At 35.9% G+C, this 17800-nt stretch overlaps 1 long non-coding RNA gene across 1 annotated transcript in view; it reads left to right on the forward strand.

Annotated features, from left to right (window-relative positions):
* Positions 1 to 17800, forward strand: part of LINC03000 (long intergenic non-protein coding RNA 3000) — a 765030-nt gene that overhangs the window by 413227 nt on the left and 334003 nt on the right. Inside the window, exon 3 of the long non-coding RNA XR_001742489.2 lies at positions 12834 to 12876. This is a non-coding gene — a long non-coding RNA (long intergenic non-protein coding RNA 3000). The remainder of the gene's footprint in view (positions 1 to 12833; positions 12877 to 17800) is intronic.

Here is a 17800-nt window from a genome sequence, read left to right on the forward strand (position 1 = left end):
TCACATAAGTAATAGTAATTAATTACTCTGCTTTGATATTAGAAAATAATTACATCATTGCATTTAAATAAAGCAAACCATCACAAAGGGAATTGTAACATACTGAAACTATAGGAAAGAAAAATAATAAAACTTGAATAGATATCTTGCCTAGAACAACTCAATTTTATAAAGTTGGCAAAAAAACAATGTTTAAAGAACATATAGAGTAGACGTCATTTTTGGTTCAACACAAATAGGTCATTGATCTGGCAAACAGCATTGAAGAAATTAATTACAGTTCAGTCATTAATATATTCATTCACAGAAGAACTCCTTGGTGAGTTAGAGAAAATACTTTTATCCTGCTTGTTTTGTATAATGTGCCACTATATGTGATATATGTGGATTTGTTTTCCAAGTTCTCTTACTTCCACTAATGGTGCATCTCTTGAAGTATGTTTCAGCCTTCCTTATCTCCCGTCCTGGACAGCCTTATGCATGGGAGAGGCCAATAAGTTTTTACCCTTTCCAACTTGCACAATGCTTCTTTGGATCAGAATATTTGAAGCAAATTTCTTACCGTGTCATTTACTTGCTGAAAAATCTTCACTAGATTTTTGACTCAACAAAATGATACAAAAACTCAATAGCCTGTAATTTAGAACCCTCTGTGATCTGATCTTGACATTATATAAACCTCATTTCATATCCTGCTCTTTATGTCCCTAGGACCAAAACTGCACTATGGCAGAATTGTTCCTGACCTATCTCCACATAATCTACTTCAACTTAACTAGTTTACCAGCTTCAATCAAACCATGCTCTCCATTCTTCTCTCTACAATATTTGCCCGACATTCATCATGTGTTCCTCACACACTGGTAGGCTAGTTGCTATTTATAGTCCCATTTCATCAGTCAGTTAAACAATATGATTACCCAAGAGAGGTTATAACCAAGTATATTTATACAAATTGCTATTATTATAATTATCAAAATTAATTAAATAATAACCAACTGATAAATACAAGTTGAAGATAATTTTTTTCCTATAAAAAGTAAGTTAGATATTTTGGAAATAAACCCAAGTCCCTAAAAATACTGCTGTCATACATATCGGTTGTGACAATACAGCTGTAAAACACTGGGGGAAGACCATAGAAAACTAGAAAGATTCTGCATTTATATTTCTAGTCAAAAATCTTCAAGTTTCACTTCATTTTAAAGAAATTGAAAGTGGGATTCCAAGGTCATGCATTTTGGGTGTGGTTTGTGCAAGGAAGGTGACAATTTAGAGAATGATATGCTACAGTAGTAATGGTAATACTTCTTTGGAAAACAAATTATCGAAAATGCAGACATCATTTATGTAAGGACAGAAACAAATCTAAATATGATGCAGAGAAGATTGTAGCAAATCCATTATTTAACAAATACTTGTTTCTTCCCTTAATTATGAACATTTTCAAACATTTATAGTATGCATGGTCATTTTTATTGGTGTATAATTTACATTCAGAGAAGTGGAAATATTATAAGCTTTATGAATTTCCATAAACTGTACACATCTTTGTAACCAGAAAGAGAGGATTACCAGTCATCCAGAAGGTCCCTCCTGTGCCTCCTTTCTGTCACTGCCCCCTCTTCTTGCATGGGCCACTATTTTATTTAACAGCATAAATTAGCTTTGCTTCTTTTTATAATATGTATACATTGTGTATATTATTTTGTATTTGGCTTCTTTCTCATAACATTATACTTATGAAATGTTTGCTTCATGTAACTATAAAGCATCCAGTTTCATGGCAGCAAAGTATTCTTTGAATCCTCTTAGAGCAAATATCATTCACAACTTACTAAAATAAAAGGGCTTTTCCTTCTTCTTATATATGCCAATTTTGGATTGTGTCACTCAGTTCCATATACCTGGACTACTCTTGCTCTTTTTTTATCCCCAATCTATTGTAAAAAGGTAATTTGTACAAAGCTATAAGTGTGTCCCTCATATAAATATAAAATGTGCCATAGATTCATGCAACTTATTAATAAGGGCAACAACAAGATGGTGAAGCTAATTCAAAGAGCGTTTGAAGAACCAAATATGTACAGAGATTAAAGGAAAAAACGTTAGAACAAGATTGCTAGGTGAGATTAAAACCTGGAAATGCTTTTACAGGATAAACATCAATCTGCAAATTAACATGTAACTTCAAAGTCTGGTATCTAAATAATAATAAATGATATGTCAAACAAAATTGTATCCTCCTAGAGATTAAGATAATAAATAATTCTTGGGTGAGCCTGCTGCACATTTTTTCAGCATAACCCTGAAGGGACACACAGATGCCATTTTGCCTTATTTCTTATCCCTCGAGGTCAATGTTCATGCCACTTCCCCTCTGAAGTCTTTCTGATCTCCTAGCTGGAAGTCATCTCTCTGGCCAAAGAGCACTGGTAGTACGTGGAGTATGTACAATATGAAGTTTGTGAATGAATAATGGTAATCTGCCACTCTAGGGTTATATCACTCCTTGAGCAGAAAGGGCTAATTAAGAACATGATTAAATTTTAAATTATAGCTGAAGAAATTGCACTGTAGAAAAGAGATAAATTAGAACACATCATGGTGTGGTTAGCACGTATATGTTCTTAAAAAGAGCAAATATGCTTTGAGAAATAATTGATTTATAAATAATCTGCTTTTCAACTTCCTTTTGCCCTTTCTGTAAGCTCTGCACTATAGAAACATTCTCTCTGTAATCCGCCACTTCATTCTAGTCTTGTTAAGCAAAACTACAGGAATCATCTATCTCAAGCTCCATTTTAGCCATCTTTTTTCCTCATCAGAGCTTGGAGACGCTGTTTGGAAACTCATGTTCAATCACGGACTTTTTCTGGCCACCATTTTCTTGTTTAGCTCTGTGACCCTCCATGCTACTTTTCCTATTAATTGCCATCAGGTGCTTGCTACTCACTTCATTGGACTTGTTGGACTTTTATTTCTTATTCTATCCCTTTCAGTCTTTACGAAAACATTCTCTTCAGCAGAGCTTGTTAAACATTATTCTTTTTTCTTTAGCTTCTCTGGCTCATGTTATTTAAGGGAGAATTTGCATAATGCATCTGTACGTCGAGTTTGATCAGACTTTGCTTTGCTTGTTTTCTCAACTCCTCCCAAGTAGCTAAAACGTTGATCTTGCTAAGATGGTTTTGAATTAAGTTATGTATACTCTTGGCCAGACCTCCTTTTCTTACTTCCAACTGGAGTGGATAATGTAAGGTAAGAGGTAGGACGATACAGTGTAAAACTTACCTCTTTTTCTGGGAACTCTCAACTGAAGTATAAAAGGTAATTGACAAAAAATCTTAAATTCCTTTTTTATGAAATTCTAGGAAAATAACATCTTGGCAATAGCTGAAATATGTGTTCTTTAGCTGTGTGTGGCTATTTGAATTAAAATGTAAATTTAAATGCATTAAAAGTAAATAAAATTTGGTCCGGCGCAGTGGCTCACACCTGTAATCCCAGCACTTTGGGAGGCCGAGGTGGGCAGTTCATGAGGACAACAGATTGAGACCATCCTGCCCAACATGGTGAAACCCCGTCTCTACTAAAAATATAAAAATTAGCTGGGTGTGGTGGTGTGCGCCTTTAGTCCCAGCTACTCAGGAGGCTGACGCAGGAGAATTGCTTGAACCGGGAGGCAGAGGTTGCAGTGAGCTGAGATCGTGCCACTGCACTCCAGCCTGGCGACAGAGCGAGACTCTGTCTCAAATAAATAAATAAATAAATAAATAAAAGTAAATAAAATTCAAAATTCATTTCATCAATCACTTTAGCCGTATTTCTAGTGCTCAATAGCCACATATAGTTACTATGTTGAACACTGAAAATATAGAACATTTCTATCATCATAGGAAGTTCTGTTGGACAGAGTTAACCCAAAGTACGTGGTAGCTATTGAATGCAAATGTGCAGACTAGTGACTTCTGTTTCATTTTCAGCTAAAGTGCTTCTTCCTTTCACAGAATTTTACTTACCTGACTCCACTAAGGATTGGTACTATCTAAGGGGCTTCTAAATGAGTTGGAAGACACAGAGCCCAGTGAAATTTTCAAGTGTGCAGATGAAACTAAGCTCTTCTGGGAGTGGAAATGCCAAATTGAAAAACTACGCCTGAAGGCTTTATGAGGGGGCAGACATGCATCAGATGAGCTTCTTTTCAAGCAAGTACAATGTGGCAAAGTTAGGTGGAAATGATTGCAGCCTTATGGGATACTGGATTTGGTTTTTCTGGTTAACAATTGATAGAACAATATCAAGTTCATTACGTAGTATTTCCTAAAATACAAAATTTTGTTATCGCTCAAAGTAGTAAAAATAAATTTGAGTGAAATGATGCAGTTATTTTCTACTTGGGTGTGATATTTAATGCATAAGTATCTGTGCAAGTAACACCTAACATAGGTGGATGTTTTAACTTGTTTTAATAAGTTAGTATTAACTTCCAAAATAGAAGTGGAAGAAAAGGCAAAACGTATAAGCATAAAGGAGTGAGGAGTGTTGTTTGAAAGAAAAATAATAGTTGTTTGTGGTTGAAGCAAAAGTCCAGGGCATGATATAGTTTTAGAAATGAGTGCCAAGCCTTATTGCAAAAGTCCTGGTAAAATGCGTATCGAATAGGTGAAGAAAACCACCAAAATAAGTTATTCAAACAGCAGAAGAATAACATAATCTAATGAGTATTTTAGAAAGATAAACGATATAGTTTGGATCTTTGTCCTCTCCAAATCTCATGTTGAAATGTGATCCCCAGTGTTGGAGGTGGGGCCTGGTGGAAGGTGTTTGGGTCATGGGGGCAGATCCTTCATGAATGGGTTGATGCTCACTCCATGGTAATGAGTGAGTTCCCACTCTCTTAGTTCACATGAGAGCTAGCTATAAAAGGAATCTGGCTCTTCCTCCTCTCTGTCGTACTCCCTCTCTCGCCACATGACATGCCTGCTCCTGCTTCACCTTCCACCATGATTGTAAGTTTCCTGAGGCTCACCAGAAGCCAGGCAGATGCTGGTGCCATGACCTGCAGAACTGTGAACCAAATAAACATTGTTTCTTTATAAATTACCCAGCCTTAGGTATTCGTTTATAGCAATGCAAAACAGACAGATATAGGAACTCTAGCAGCAACGTAGATTAATAGTTCTAAAAGGGGGTGCTTTTGTTTCCCAGGGGACAGTTGACCATTTCTGGAGTAGCATTGGTTGTCATGAGAGATTAGGGGTCAGGGAGCCAATGGTATCTACTAGGTAGAGTTTAGGGGTGCTTCTAAACTTCTTATAATGTAAAAGAAAATTCCCACAGCAAAGAAATATTCAGTCCCAAATGTTGATGTTGCCAAGGTTGAAAAACCTTGATGCAGACAATAAATTTAAGAAAGGACATGCCTTAAATAATAAAATCATTTAGGATACTGATACAAAAATAAATTTAAGAAATGATGAGAGGAATGATGTTATATTAATATGTTTACTGTTCTTAAATTTATAAAGACAGAATATTGACAAGGAGGAATATAGAGGTAATCCAAGTTTCTAAATAGAATGAAAAGAAACCCATTCCCTATTTGTATGTTTTGTACAACTTATACAATTATTTACTCATAAATTTATATAAACAAAAGAAAATTCCAGAAGGATATATACTGCATTGCAAGTAAAATTAATGGGAAAATATATAAAGTAACATAGCTGGGACTTTTTTATTATACAGAGAAAAGGGGGAAATTCCATAATTTTCTAGAGAGAATATAGAGTTGCTGAAAAGTGCAGAAGAAATTCTCCCATATAACATTAAATTCCATTGGAACTTTAGGGGGAAATGGTCAACCAGCATTTCATGGCAAAACAAGATGTCTTTTGTGGGCAAAGGCAGTAGAAATACTTGCAAATTTCACGATGCTCAAAATATACATGAACATCCTACAGTTATTGTAAAGATTACTTAAAGATGTTAAACATGGTAAATCATAAAATTTAAAGAAATTAGTGTGTAAAAGTTCTCTTTTGCTATTTGGTAAATTCAGGAATAAAATTAGATCTTTTCTTTTGGCCATGTAAACTGTAAATTCTGTACAAAATTTGACCCTGCTATTATTACCTCATCTATATATTGTGTTTCCTTCTACTTTCCAGAGGTCAGCACATCCTGCACTTTATATAAGATCTCTTTTTCAGTTTGGTTACTTAAAATGATAATTGTTCCTATTCTGTTGGAATGCTTACTAAAAATGGCTAGGCAATTGACTAGTTGGGTCATTGCCTGGTATAATTGCCCAGCAAAGTTTCATTATATATTGTTTCTATATTCTTGTCTTCATAAAATAAGATTCCCACAAAGAAATATTGCAGCAATTATAATTAAACTTAGGCAGTGCACTTGTGTATATTTAAAAAAAAGTCTCTGAATTTTATTCAATTATGAAAGATGAATAAAAAATTATCTCCCTTCAAGTTCTACTTAATTTAATAATTCCTGTTCCTTTTCTGGAAACAACAACAAAAAATTCTTGTATAAGGCTCCTCCAGAGGTTTCACAAAAATTATAATGAAAACCTTTAAATATGATATGGAAGAGACAGTGAAGCATTTAAAATATATATGGAAAAGCCACTGGCATTTATTATAAGTTTTTAAAACCTGAATTATTTTTTATTTATTTGGAGTACTTCATGAGATTTTGGCAGAATTTTTTAACATATATATTCTGGAATTTTCAGTTACTTTACATAAATGATGATTAAAGTCACTTTGAAATATTTTCTAAAAAGAATTGCACATACAAACTTGGGAAACAAATAAAGCTATATCCCTGTGCATTGAGTCAAGAATACAGAATCTATCCTAGGTTTTTCAAACAATTAATTTTTTTTTTTTTTTTGAGATAAAGTCTCACTTTGTCTCACAGACTGGAGTGCAATGGCGCAATCTTGGCTCACTACAACCTCTGCCTCCCAGGTTCAAACAATTCTCCTGTCTCAGCCTCCCGAATAGCTGGGATTATAGGTGCCCACCACCACGCCGGGTAATTTTTGTATTTTAGTAGAGATGGGGTTTCACCATGTTGGCCAGGCTGGTCTCGAACTCCTGACCTTGTGATCCACCCTCCTCGGCCTCCCAAAGTGCTGGGGTTACAGGCATGAGCCACTGCACCTTGTCGAGTTAATTTTTTAATAGTCAATATGTTTTAGGGATTCAGGCTTGCTTTTCTTGTTTGTTTTAATGGTCAAGAAAGACGCTTAGAACACTTACTTTCAATTTTTCCAGGCAAAAATTACCCCAGCTATGCACTACAGCAAAGTCACTAGTATATCTTGGTCTCAGGTAGGCCAAAAACATATTTAAAAGCTTTCTATTGAAGTAAAATATGTGTACAAAACTGCACATGTAGGAGTACAATCTGATAAATTTTCATTAACTGATTATTGATTATGCCAGTGTAACTAGCATCCAGATCAAGAAATCATCACCAGTACCCCAGTAAAACCTCTTCAATTTTCCCCAAAGTTAGTCCATTATCCTAAAATCTTAAATAATAGAATACTTTTTTATATTATTTTATATAAAAATTGCATAATACAGCATGTTCAATTCTGTCTGACTTTAGCTCAACAGTGTTTGTGGAATTCATTCCTATTGTTATCTGTATTTGTAGACAGTGATTACCATTGTGGTACAGTAATCATTATGTGAAATACCTCAATTTATCCTATCGTTGGTGGAGATTTGAGTGATATTTAGGTTTTAGCTATTACAAATTAGTAATATTTTATTGTATTACATGATTTTTTGGTAAACATTGGAACACATTTCTGATAAAAATATACCTAAAAATTAAATTCTTGGATCATAGAGATTTTGTATGTTCACATTCAGTAGAAACAGCCAAATCGGTTCCCAAAGGCTGTACCAATTTTCCATGGCTTCCAGCTCTGTTTAAGAACTTCAGTTGCTCAACATCCTCCCCAGCACTCGATAGTCCTGTCTTTCTCATTGGCCACTCTGACGATTACTTAGTGGTATTTCATTTTGATCGTAATTTGTGTTTTCCTGATGTCTTTTCATATGTTTTATTAGAAATTTGGATATCCTCAGAGAGAGGATATTAATGCAGAAAAATGTTTACAAAAGTGATAGATGGGCAGAAAAGGGGAAGAACAGTTGTTATGCAAGACCAGGACAGTGTCCCTACCTGTGTTCTGGGATGCATTTCTAGCTAAGCTGCTGTGGTGCATTGCTTCATTTTTTTTTTCAACTTTTGTTTTAAGTTCAGGGATACATATGCAGGACACTCAGGTTTGTTACACAGGTAAATGTGTGCCATTGTGGTTTACGGCAAAGATCATCCCATCACCTAAATATAAAGCTCGGCTTAATATTTAGCTGGGCTTAATATTTAGCTATTCTTCCTGATGCTCTCCCTCCTCCCACTCCTCACCCTCCAACAAGCCCCAGTGTATGTTGTTCCCCCCATGTTTCCACATGTTCTCATCATTCAGCTCCCACTTATAAGTGAGCAAATGCAGTGTTTGGTTTTCTGTTCCTCCATTAGTTTGCTGAGGATAAAGGCATCCAACTCCATCCATGTCCCTGCAAAGGACATGATCTCATTCTGTTTTATGGCTGCATAGTATTCCATGGTGTATATGTACCGCATTTTCCTTATCAGTCGATCATTGATGGGCATTTAGGATGATTCCATGTCTTTGCTATTGTGAATAGTGTTGCAATAAACATATGTGTGCATGTATCTTTATAACAGAATGATTTATATTCCTTTGGGTATATGTCCAGTAATGGGATTGCTGGGTCAAATGGTATTTCTGTCTGTACATTTTTGAGGAATTGCCATACTGTCTTCCACAGTGGTTGAACTAATTTACACTCCCACCAACAGTGTAAAAGTATTCCCTTTTCTCCACAACTTCACCAGCATCTGTTGTTTATAGAGTGCACTGCTTCTGAAATGAGGCTGCCTTAACCACTGCTGTTGGGACCTGAAAATGCTGGAGGCTATGCTTTCCTGGTAATTGCCTTTCTGCTAAGTTGAGAGTTGAATACAGAATGCCTCCTGCTTGTGCCTCCTCCCATTGGCTCCCATTTGTAGAACTAATTATGAAAACAAGTCAAGAAATTCTAGGAAATGTCATTTTTAGACTTCCAGGATGCCTTTCCTCCCCTCCACTCCCATTGAAAATAAAAGCTTGGAAGGTCAGAAAACAAGTTATATACCAATTGCCTCCATCTGCCCCAGTGCGCTGCACCTTAGCTTTCTAAATATCAAGGAGTAAGGAGGGACATAAGAGCTATGGCCATATAAATCTGCATATATGTCTATCAACATTTTCAGGCAACTGGTTAATCAGTTGTGTATTTGACAAAGTGTCTAGAAAAATAAAAAGTAAAGTACTTGCTCTCATGATTCTTATAACTTCTTAGTTATAAGAAATTAGCCATTATTAACTTTATTCACTAAGAATAAAGAAAAGTATACGTGAAACATCAGTTAATAATACAGAAAATTGGGAGGCTGAATTGTCACAATAGACAATGAGTCTTAACTGATTTTTCCAAGATCAGGAGAGGAAAAATGACAGCGAATGTGGTTGAATGTGAAATGGGGGTGAGCTTTTTCCTAAAGGGCAGATAATGAGGAGGAGGGAAGAAGAAAACACATTCTGGTCAAAAGAAGCAATATGAGTAGAATAAATAACATAGGATTCAGCAGTGGCATCTTTATAAAATATTAAGATTCTGCCTTACCTTACCTTAAAGTGGGCTTTGGAAGAAGATAGCAGAATCAATTATAATTTTATAACAAGATTCCTGTCAATTTGGAAATCTGGAAATCATGTCAGGAAGAATAAGGAAACTAAGATATTTAGCTCAGAGAAGAGAAACCTAAATGCAATATCTATTAAGTATCATGTTGAAGAAGGCACAAATTTGTTTTGATTGTTCGAAAAGGAACAAAAATGGCCGGGTGCAGTGGCTCACGCCTGTAATCCCAGCACTTTGGGAGGCCAAGGCGGGCGGATCATGAGGTCAGGAGATCAAGACCATCCTGGCTAACACGGTGAAACACCATCTCTACTAAAAAAATACAAATCAATTAGCCAGGCATGGTGGTGGGCACCTGTAGTCCCAGCTACTGGGGAGGCTGAGGCAGGAGAATGGCGTGAACCCGGGAGGCAGAGTTTGCAGTGAGCCAAGATCACACCACTGCACCACTCCAGCCTGGGCGACAGAGCGAGACTCAGTCTCAAAAAAAAAAAAAAAAAAAAAAGGAACAAAAGTTAGAGGCATTCAGCAGCTATAAATTCAGTGAAAAACATTTGTTTAAAATCAATGGTTATCTTACAGTGAAACACACTAGCTCATGTAGATATGATGTCTATAGCCATAAATCATTCTCATAGAAGTTAAATGGCCAACTATATCACAGAAGGGATTTCCGCAATCAAAACAAAGAAGATGACCCAAATATTTCTTTAATCTAAAGAATAATTTGGGATAGATATGGTAGCATTTATCAGGGAACATGAAAGCCAATTAGTTTAGATTTTAGTAACTGATGAATACAATTAGTTCTTCTTACATTCCTGCTCAGTGCCAGATACTGTCTAGTGAAATGGTGAATGATATAATTCACTATAATAACCAATTCACTAGAGGAAACCGGGAAAGAAAAAACAAACTCTAGACTTAGAAGATGCTCCACGAAAAAACAAGTCCAAGGTGAAATAGTGTTAAGAAAGTCTACATCTACTTACCTTTTTAATAATCATTATTATTTACAGAATATGAAACAGTTTCATGGCTCTGCTATGTCCTTAAGTAAATATACTTGCTTAACCTCTGAATCATCGAGCACCTTCCAAATTTGTCTCAAAAAATCATTTTTTTAATCCCCAGAAAACGATTATATCAACATTCTGCAACTGGTACTTGCATACAACTAATTTTTAAAATATACATTGTCATTGTAATCACAATTATTGCCTACAGGAACTTATAGTCTATTAAGGGAAATAGACGGTTATAATACCATATGCAAAGCCATGCTATGGGAGTGAATGCAAGTGCTATAGAAACACACACCTAACTCATCCTTGGGGTGAGGGCTGGGGCAGGAAAATTCTGGGAGAAGGTTTAATAAAGTAACTCCTGAGTATCCTATAGGTCTGATAATCTAACTAATAAATTAGCCAAACCTATAGGATACTCAGGAATTACTGAGAAAAAGGGAAGGAAAGAAAGTTCTAGACTTGATATTTAAAGTACATTAAGACAGACTTGTTCTGCATCTCAGATTTCATTGCAGGGTCACTACAAAGGTCACTGAAACACACAATTATGCAATCTTAGGTGCAGGAAATAAACATAGAGATCCTCTAGTCCAGACACCTTTTATATAATAGCCTAAAGGGAGGCCATCTAACCTCTGTTTAAATGTTTTTAGTCACTGGAATCTATCTCATGAAGCATTTTCCCCCTTATATTAAAATGAAATCACCCTTCCTATAACTTTTACCTGCCCCAGTCTGCATTCTTGAGCTGCACCAAAGAACCTGGACTTCATTACTTTGGGGATATCGAAGTCATTTTCTATCGGTGATGGAACTTAAAATCAGGTCTATTTAATAGAGTTTTCAGTTACTCTGTCCATTCATTTTCAACCAGACATTTCGCTGCTTTTAACATGTAAAATATATCTGCACATCTTAAAGTTTTCTTAAAACTACAATATAAATACTGAGTTTTATATAACTTTTTATTTATCAAGGGAGTATTTTGGAAATTTGGTTTTGGCATCTTTTTGTAAAAATGTTAGTTCTTAGGAACATTTTCATAATTCAGCAGGGTCTACAATGTTAATGGACCTGAGCAGCAGGATCCTTGGACCACATACTATAAATACTCCTCAGAGTGCTTATAATTTCAATTCCAGAGCCTAATGCTGGCTGTAATTCATTTGTTTTTCTTCTCTTATTGAAAGTGATTCCCAGCAGCCTTCTGATTTTGGAAATCTATTACTTTTGCTCAATTCTAAGTTCATAGTCCAAATTTAAATTAAAGTATGGTAGTAGAAAAAACATGGTAGGAATTCAAAAAAGTAATGGTGAAGAAATAAATATTTTCTATGAGCAAAAGATTCTTTTAAAAACATTTAAATCACTCAGGGAAAAATTAGAAGTCTTTTTCTTCAGTTTCAATTTGGGCTTCCAGTGCTCAGAATACTAAAACATAAGAAAAATATGTTCTTCTCTTGATTAAAAATAAATAGTTGCAAATTACTCAATAGCTTCACATTTCAATTTAAACATAAGATACATGAAATGCAACTTGATGTTCTATGTGTGTGTATTTAGTTGGCACTGCAAAATGAACATGGATACAATTTTTAAAACACTAACTAAAATTACATTGTACTAGCCTTAAACATAATTAGAATTTTAGATTGGATATATCTCACTTCAAGTAAATTTTGTGATTTTATAAGTGAGAAAACGGAGGCCAGTAAAGTTAAATGATTTATATTAGAAGTAGAGAACCACTGACAATTTTCATGTTCTACAGAATGCTTTTTTACTTGGTAATAGAACAGCAGTCTTACAATAAATGTAGAAGTATTTTGACTATTTATATAGTGACAGTAGTCTTATTTGAATAAATACGTTAAGTTCAAGAAAAGGGAGGAATCTAAATTTGAAAAATGAAACTTCTTAAATAGCATATGATGTAATGTTCATTATTTTTAATTTTCATGTTTTTTTTTTTTTTTACCCCCACCAGGGAAATCATCTTTCGGGAATTTATCTAAGAAGAACTTCTTATGGTAAGAATGTTTAATAAAATAACATTTTATAAAAATAATCACATAGCTTTATTGCATGATATCTTTATTTTCAAATAGAATTTCCAATATACACAGAGCTGAGAAAAATATGCACACTATTCTATTTATGTGATATATCAAATAACAGATACTGAAATGAGTCACTAAGTATCTGCTATTTATTTTCACTGAGATTTGAATGTCTGATAATAGATGAAAATGTTACTTCTTTAAGTAATAATGGTGCCCTTCAATGGGCAAATGAAAAATAATTTAAAGGATTAAAGGAAGAGACCTCTGAACTCTGGAAGTTCCCCTGACTTCCCCACCAAAGTAGACTGCTCATTTTTTTTTTTTTTTTTTTTTTTGAGACCCAGTCTCACTCTGTTGCCCAGGCTGGAGTGCAGTGGTGTGATCTTGGCTCACTGCAACTTCTGCCTCCTGGGTTCAAGTGATTCTCGCATCTCAGCCTCCCGAGTAGCTGGGACTACAGGCATGAGCCACCACGCCCGGCTAATTTTTGTATTTTTAGTGTAGACGGGATTTTACCATGTTGGCCAGGCTGGTCTCAAATTCCTGACCTCAGGTGATCCACTCGCCTCAGCCTCCCAAAGGGCTGGGATTACAGATGTGAGCCAACATGCCCCGCCAGATTGGTCATCTTCTGTAGCACTCTTTTTCCCCCTACTAACCTGTTTTACTTTTAGAACACATGTTATTAAAATATTTGTCATCATACAAAATATTTATTTTGTATTTATACCTCTGTTGCCCATTTTTCCCACTAGAACGTAACATGTAGGGGAGCCAGATGCTTGCTTATTGGCAAATGGCTGGCCCATAGACATTTGTTAAATGGCTGCATTAAGGATCAATGAAATGATCACCTATGATGTACCAGCCACTAAATCAGGTTGCTTCACTGGCAACATTTCCATTTATCCTCACAGTAAACCTAAGAGGTAGATATCGGCTTCATTTTACAGATAAGGAAACAGATTCAGAGCAGAAAAATTACTTGCTCCAAATTATGTAATTATTAAGAAGATGCTGGAACTTGAATTCTTGTTTAGCAATTTCAAATACTAAAACCTTTTTTTTTTAGAGCAAATATCCTAAAATTCAGATTGTTAAAATGACGTGAAGAAAAAATGAACAGGAAACTGATGCAGAGGCCACAAAGAATATTCAAACACAAATTTTCCATTTTCAAAAAATGACACTGCTCCAGGACCCTGTGGATATGAGGCTGGATAATTGATTCTCTACTTCCAACTTACTCATGTGCATTTGATACCTCTAACAAAAGGAGTAAATTTTTCACAATTCAATATGACCTACTTTTAATTATTTAGGTGTTTATTAACAGTTTTGAATCAACGTTTGTCATGTAAATATATAATCAGAAACATCAAGTCTGACAGGGCAAAGGTAAAGAAAAATATATATTTTAATTCTTAAAAGAGTCAGTTCTTAGGTTTTCACACTCTTAATTGGAGATCATATTACCTATATTTTAGGAATTACATTTTTTTTTTTTTTTTTTTTGAGACGGAGTCTCACTCTTTCGCCCAGGCTGGAGTTCAGTGGTGCTATCTCGGCTCACTGCAAGCTCCGCCTCCCGGATTCACGCCATTCTCCTGCCTCAGCCTCCCAAGTAGCTGGGACTACAGGCGCCCGCCACTGCGTCCAGCTAATTTTTTGCATTTTTAGTAGAGACGGGGTTTCACCGTGCTAGCCAGGATGGTCTCGATCTCCTGACCTCATGATCCGCCTGCCTCGGCCTCCCAAAGTGCTGGGATTACAGGCGTGAGCCACCGCACCAGGCCAGGAATTACATTATTTTTTATTAAACTTTTTATTTTGAGATTATTATTGATTCACATGCAGTTGTAAGAAATTAATACGGAGAAACTCCAGTGCCTTTTACCTGGTTTCTCCCAATGTAACGTATTGGAAATTTATGCTATAAAATGAAAACCAGGCTATTGACATTGATACACTTAATATAAAGAACATTTTCGTCACACATGATTCCCTCCCACTGCTCTTTCATAGCCATACCTATGTTCCTATTCCCCTTAACTCCTAGTAATTACTAATCTGTTCTTCCTTTCTAACATACTGTCATTTCAAGAAAATTATATAAATGGAATCATGCGGTATGTTCATGAACAAGATTGGCTTTTCACTCAATATGATTCCTTGAAGATCTACACCAACAGTCATTGTATAAATAGTTCATTAATTTTTGTTGCTGACTAGTATTTTTTGGTATAGATGGACCTCAGTTAGTTTAACCATTTACCCATTTAAAGACATCTAGGTTGGCCAGGCACAGTGGCTCACACCTGTAATCCCAGCATTTTGGGAGGCTGAGAAGGGCAGATTGCCTGAGCTCAGGAGTTTGAGACCAGCCTGGGCAACATGGCAAAAATACATGTACTAAAAATACAAATTAGCCAGGCATGGTGGTGCATGCCTGTAATCCCAGCTACTCAGGAGGCTGATTAAGGAGAATTGCTTGAACCTGGGAGGCAGACATTGCAGTGAGCCAAGATCATGCCATTGCACTCCAGCCTGGGCAACAGAGCAAGACTCTGTCTCAAAATAAATAAAGACATCTAGGTTGTTGTCAGTCTTTGGTTATTGTAAATAAAACTGCTCCATTCATAAAACTGAACATCTATGTACAGGGTTTTTTTTGTGAACTTAAGTTTTCATTTCTCTGGGAAATGTAAAGTACCATTATATATTTTTTAAATTAGAAAAACAAAAATGTTTTTAAATATTATTCACTGGGGGCCCTCAATCACAAGAGTAATTGAATCAAAACAAGAAGAAAACTTAAGTTAAAAGGAAGTTAAGTAACTTTTTAATTGATGCATATAAGCATCCTTACTATCATTATTTTCATTATGGCTGGTATATCTCTGAAATTGATAGCCTCATCTTATTTATCTAAGAAATGTCCACTTTTCTCATTATGCTGTCTTCTTCTGCAATATTTTTTTCTTCTTATAAGGACTACATTCATACATTCCTTTGAATTTTTACTCAAAAATTTTATGTGCTAAGCATTAACTGTTGGCTTATTTTGCCGCTGATACATATTGCAGGCAGTACCAGGTTTATATTCATAGATGAACTTCTAAATGATCAGAGCTGCAATATCTCCCTTAAGAACTAAGGACACTCTCCTAATTTGCTACGGCATGACATGACAAAGTGTCAGGGTGTGTTTTATAGCATTTATTAATAAGCTGCATTTCTCTCATGAGGTGTATTTGCTGGCCTGGCAACTTGCCTCTACTCATCTAAACTTGAACTCTAAGGAAAACAGCATTCTGCCAAATAACCATAGGGAAAGAGAGTGGGTTGTTTTGTTTTGTTTTGAGACGGAGTCTCGCTGTTGTCACCCAGGCTGGAGTGCAATGGAACGATCTCAGACACCGCAACCTCTGCCTCCTGGGTTCAAGCAATTCTCCTGCCTCAACCTCCTGGGTAGCTGGGATTACAGGCACCCACCACCATGCCCACCTAATTTTTGTACTTTTAGTAGAGATGGAGTTTCTCCATGTTGGCCAGGCTGGTCTTGAACTCCTGACCTTAGGTAATCTGCCCACCTTGGCCTCCCAAAGTGCTGGGATTATAGGTGTGAGCCACTGTGCCTGGCCAGGCAAGAGAGTAGTGTTCTAAATAAACCAAAAGAATAATTACATATATACACAGACATGAAGAGCTGTGTGTGTACATGTATTTATGTCTGTGTGTGTGTGTATATATATCTATATATATATAAAACTGTATGTATGTGTATATATGTACCAGCCATAAAATACTGCTCTATCATAGAAATTCCATGCTATTGATGGCTAAGACTAGGAGACTAAAAGAAAAGACTATATGTGTTGAGTCTTGTAAGAATTGCTAAAATTGTACATGTCTTATTTATATCCAAAGATAAATTGGAAATAGACCATAATATATACACATACCAATTATAGTAGAAAAAACTTAAATATCTCTCTACCAAATTCTGAAATTTAGATAAAATTCAGAAGTTTCCATACTGCTTGCTATTTTTATACTTATTGGAATCAAGTCAGACAAAAATAAGGATTTATTCATACATTTAAGAAATATTCATCTTTCGCTTTCTTTGTGATGGCTCTGATCTAAGCGGTGGAAATCAAAGAGAATGAAGTCATTGCTAATACAGCTCATAGTCCAGTGGGGGAAGTTAATCCATGCACAGGTAAATAAATTAAAAATTGCGAAATATTTTGCTGTGAAGAAAGTGAAATAGTGATAGGATAGAGTGGTTAACAGAACAGGGTGGTGTCTACATTAGCTAGAGTGGCCAGAGAAATCTTCCCAAGGGGCCATATATGAGCAGAGACATGAATGCTGAGCTGGAGCCAGCAATGCAAAAACATCCCAGGAACTAGAATATTCCAGGCAGAAGCAACAGCAAATGCAAAGACTCTCAGACGGAAAGGAGCTAGGACTTTGAAAGACTGGAAAATCTCAATCTGTCTGTCTTAGAAATGAATTGTTTGAATCCCTGACTTTGTGGAGCCAGAGCCTTGCTGGACAGCACTGGCCACCCCACCACTTCGAAATCATTTACTAAATGAACAATGAGAATAGTGTCATAGCAGGAAGAAGATAGCATATATTAAAGAATGACCAAGAAATCAGCAACTGGAAGAACAGAAAACTTGGAGCGCCAAGTGGATGTAAACAGAGAAGCAAGGAAAGTTTGATGTAGGTGAGGGAACTGTTTGGATTTTAGTCTGACTGAACAGTTCAAGGAATAGTAATGGGCTAGTGTGACTGGAGGAATAGGCAAAGGGGAGGCTTATAGGAGAAGAGGTCTTAAGATAAGCCACAGAACCAGACATGGAAAGGATTTAGGGTT

The sequence above is a fragment of the Homo sapiens genome, chromosome 5 (genome assembly GCF_000001405.40).
Source record: "Homo sapiens chromosome 5, GRCh38.p14 Primary Assembly".
NCBI classification, from domain to species: Eukaryota; Metazoa; Chordata; class Mammalia; order Primates; family Hominidae; genus Homo; species Homo sapiens.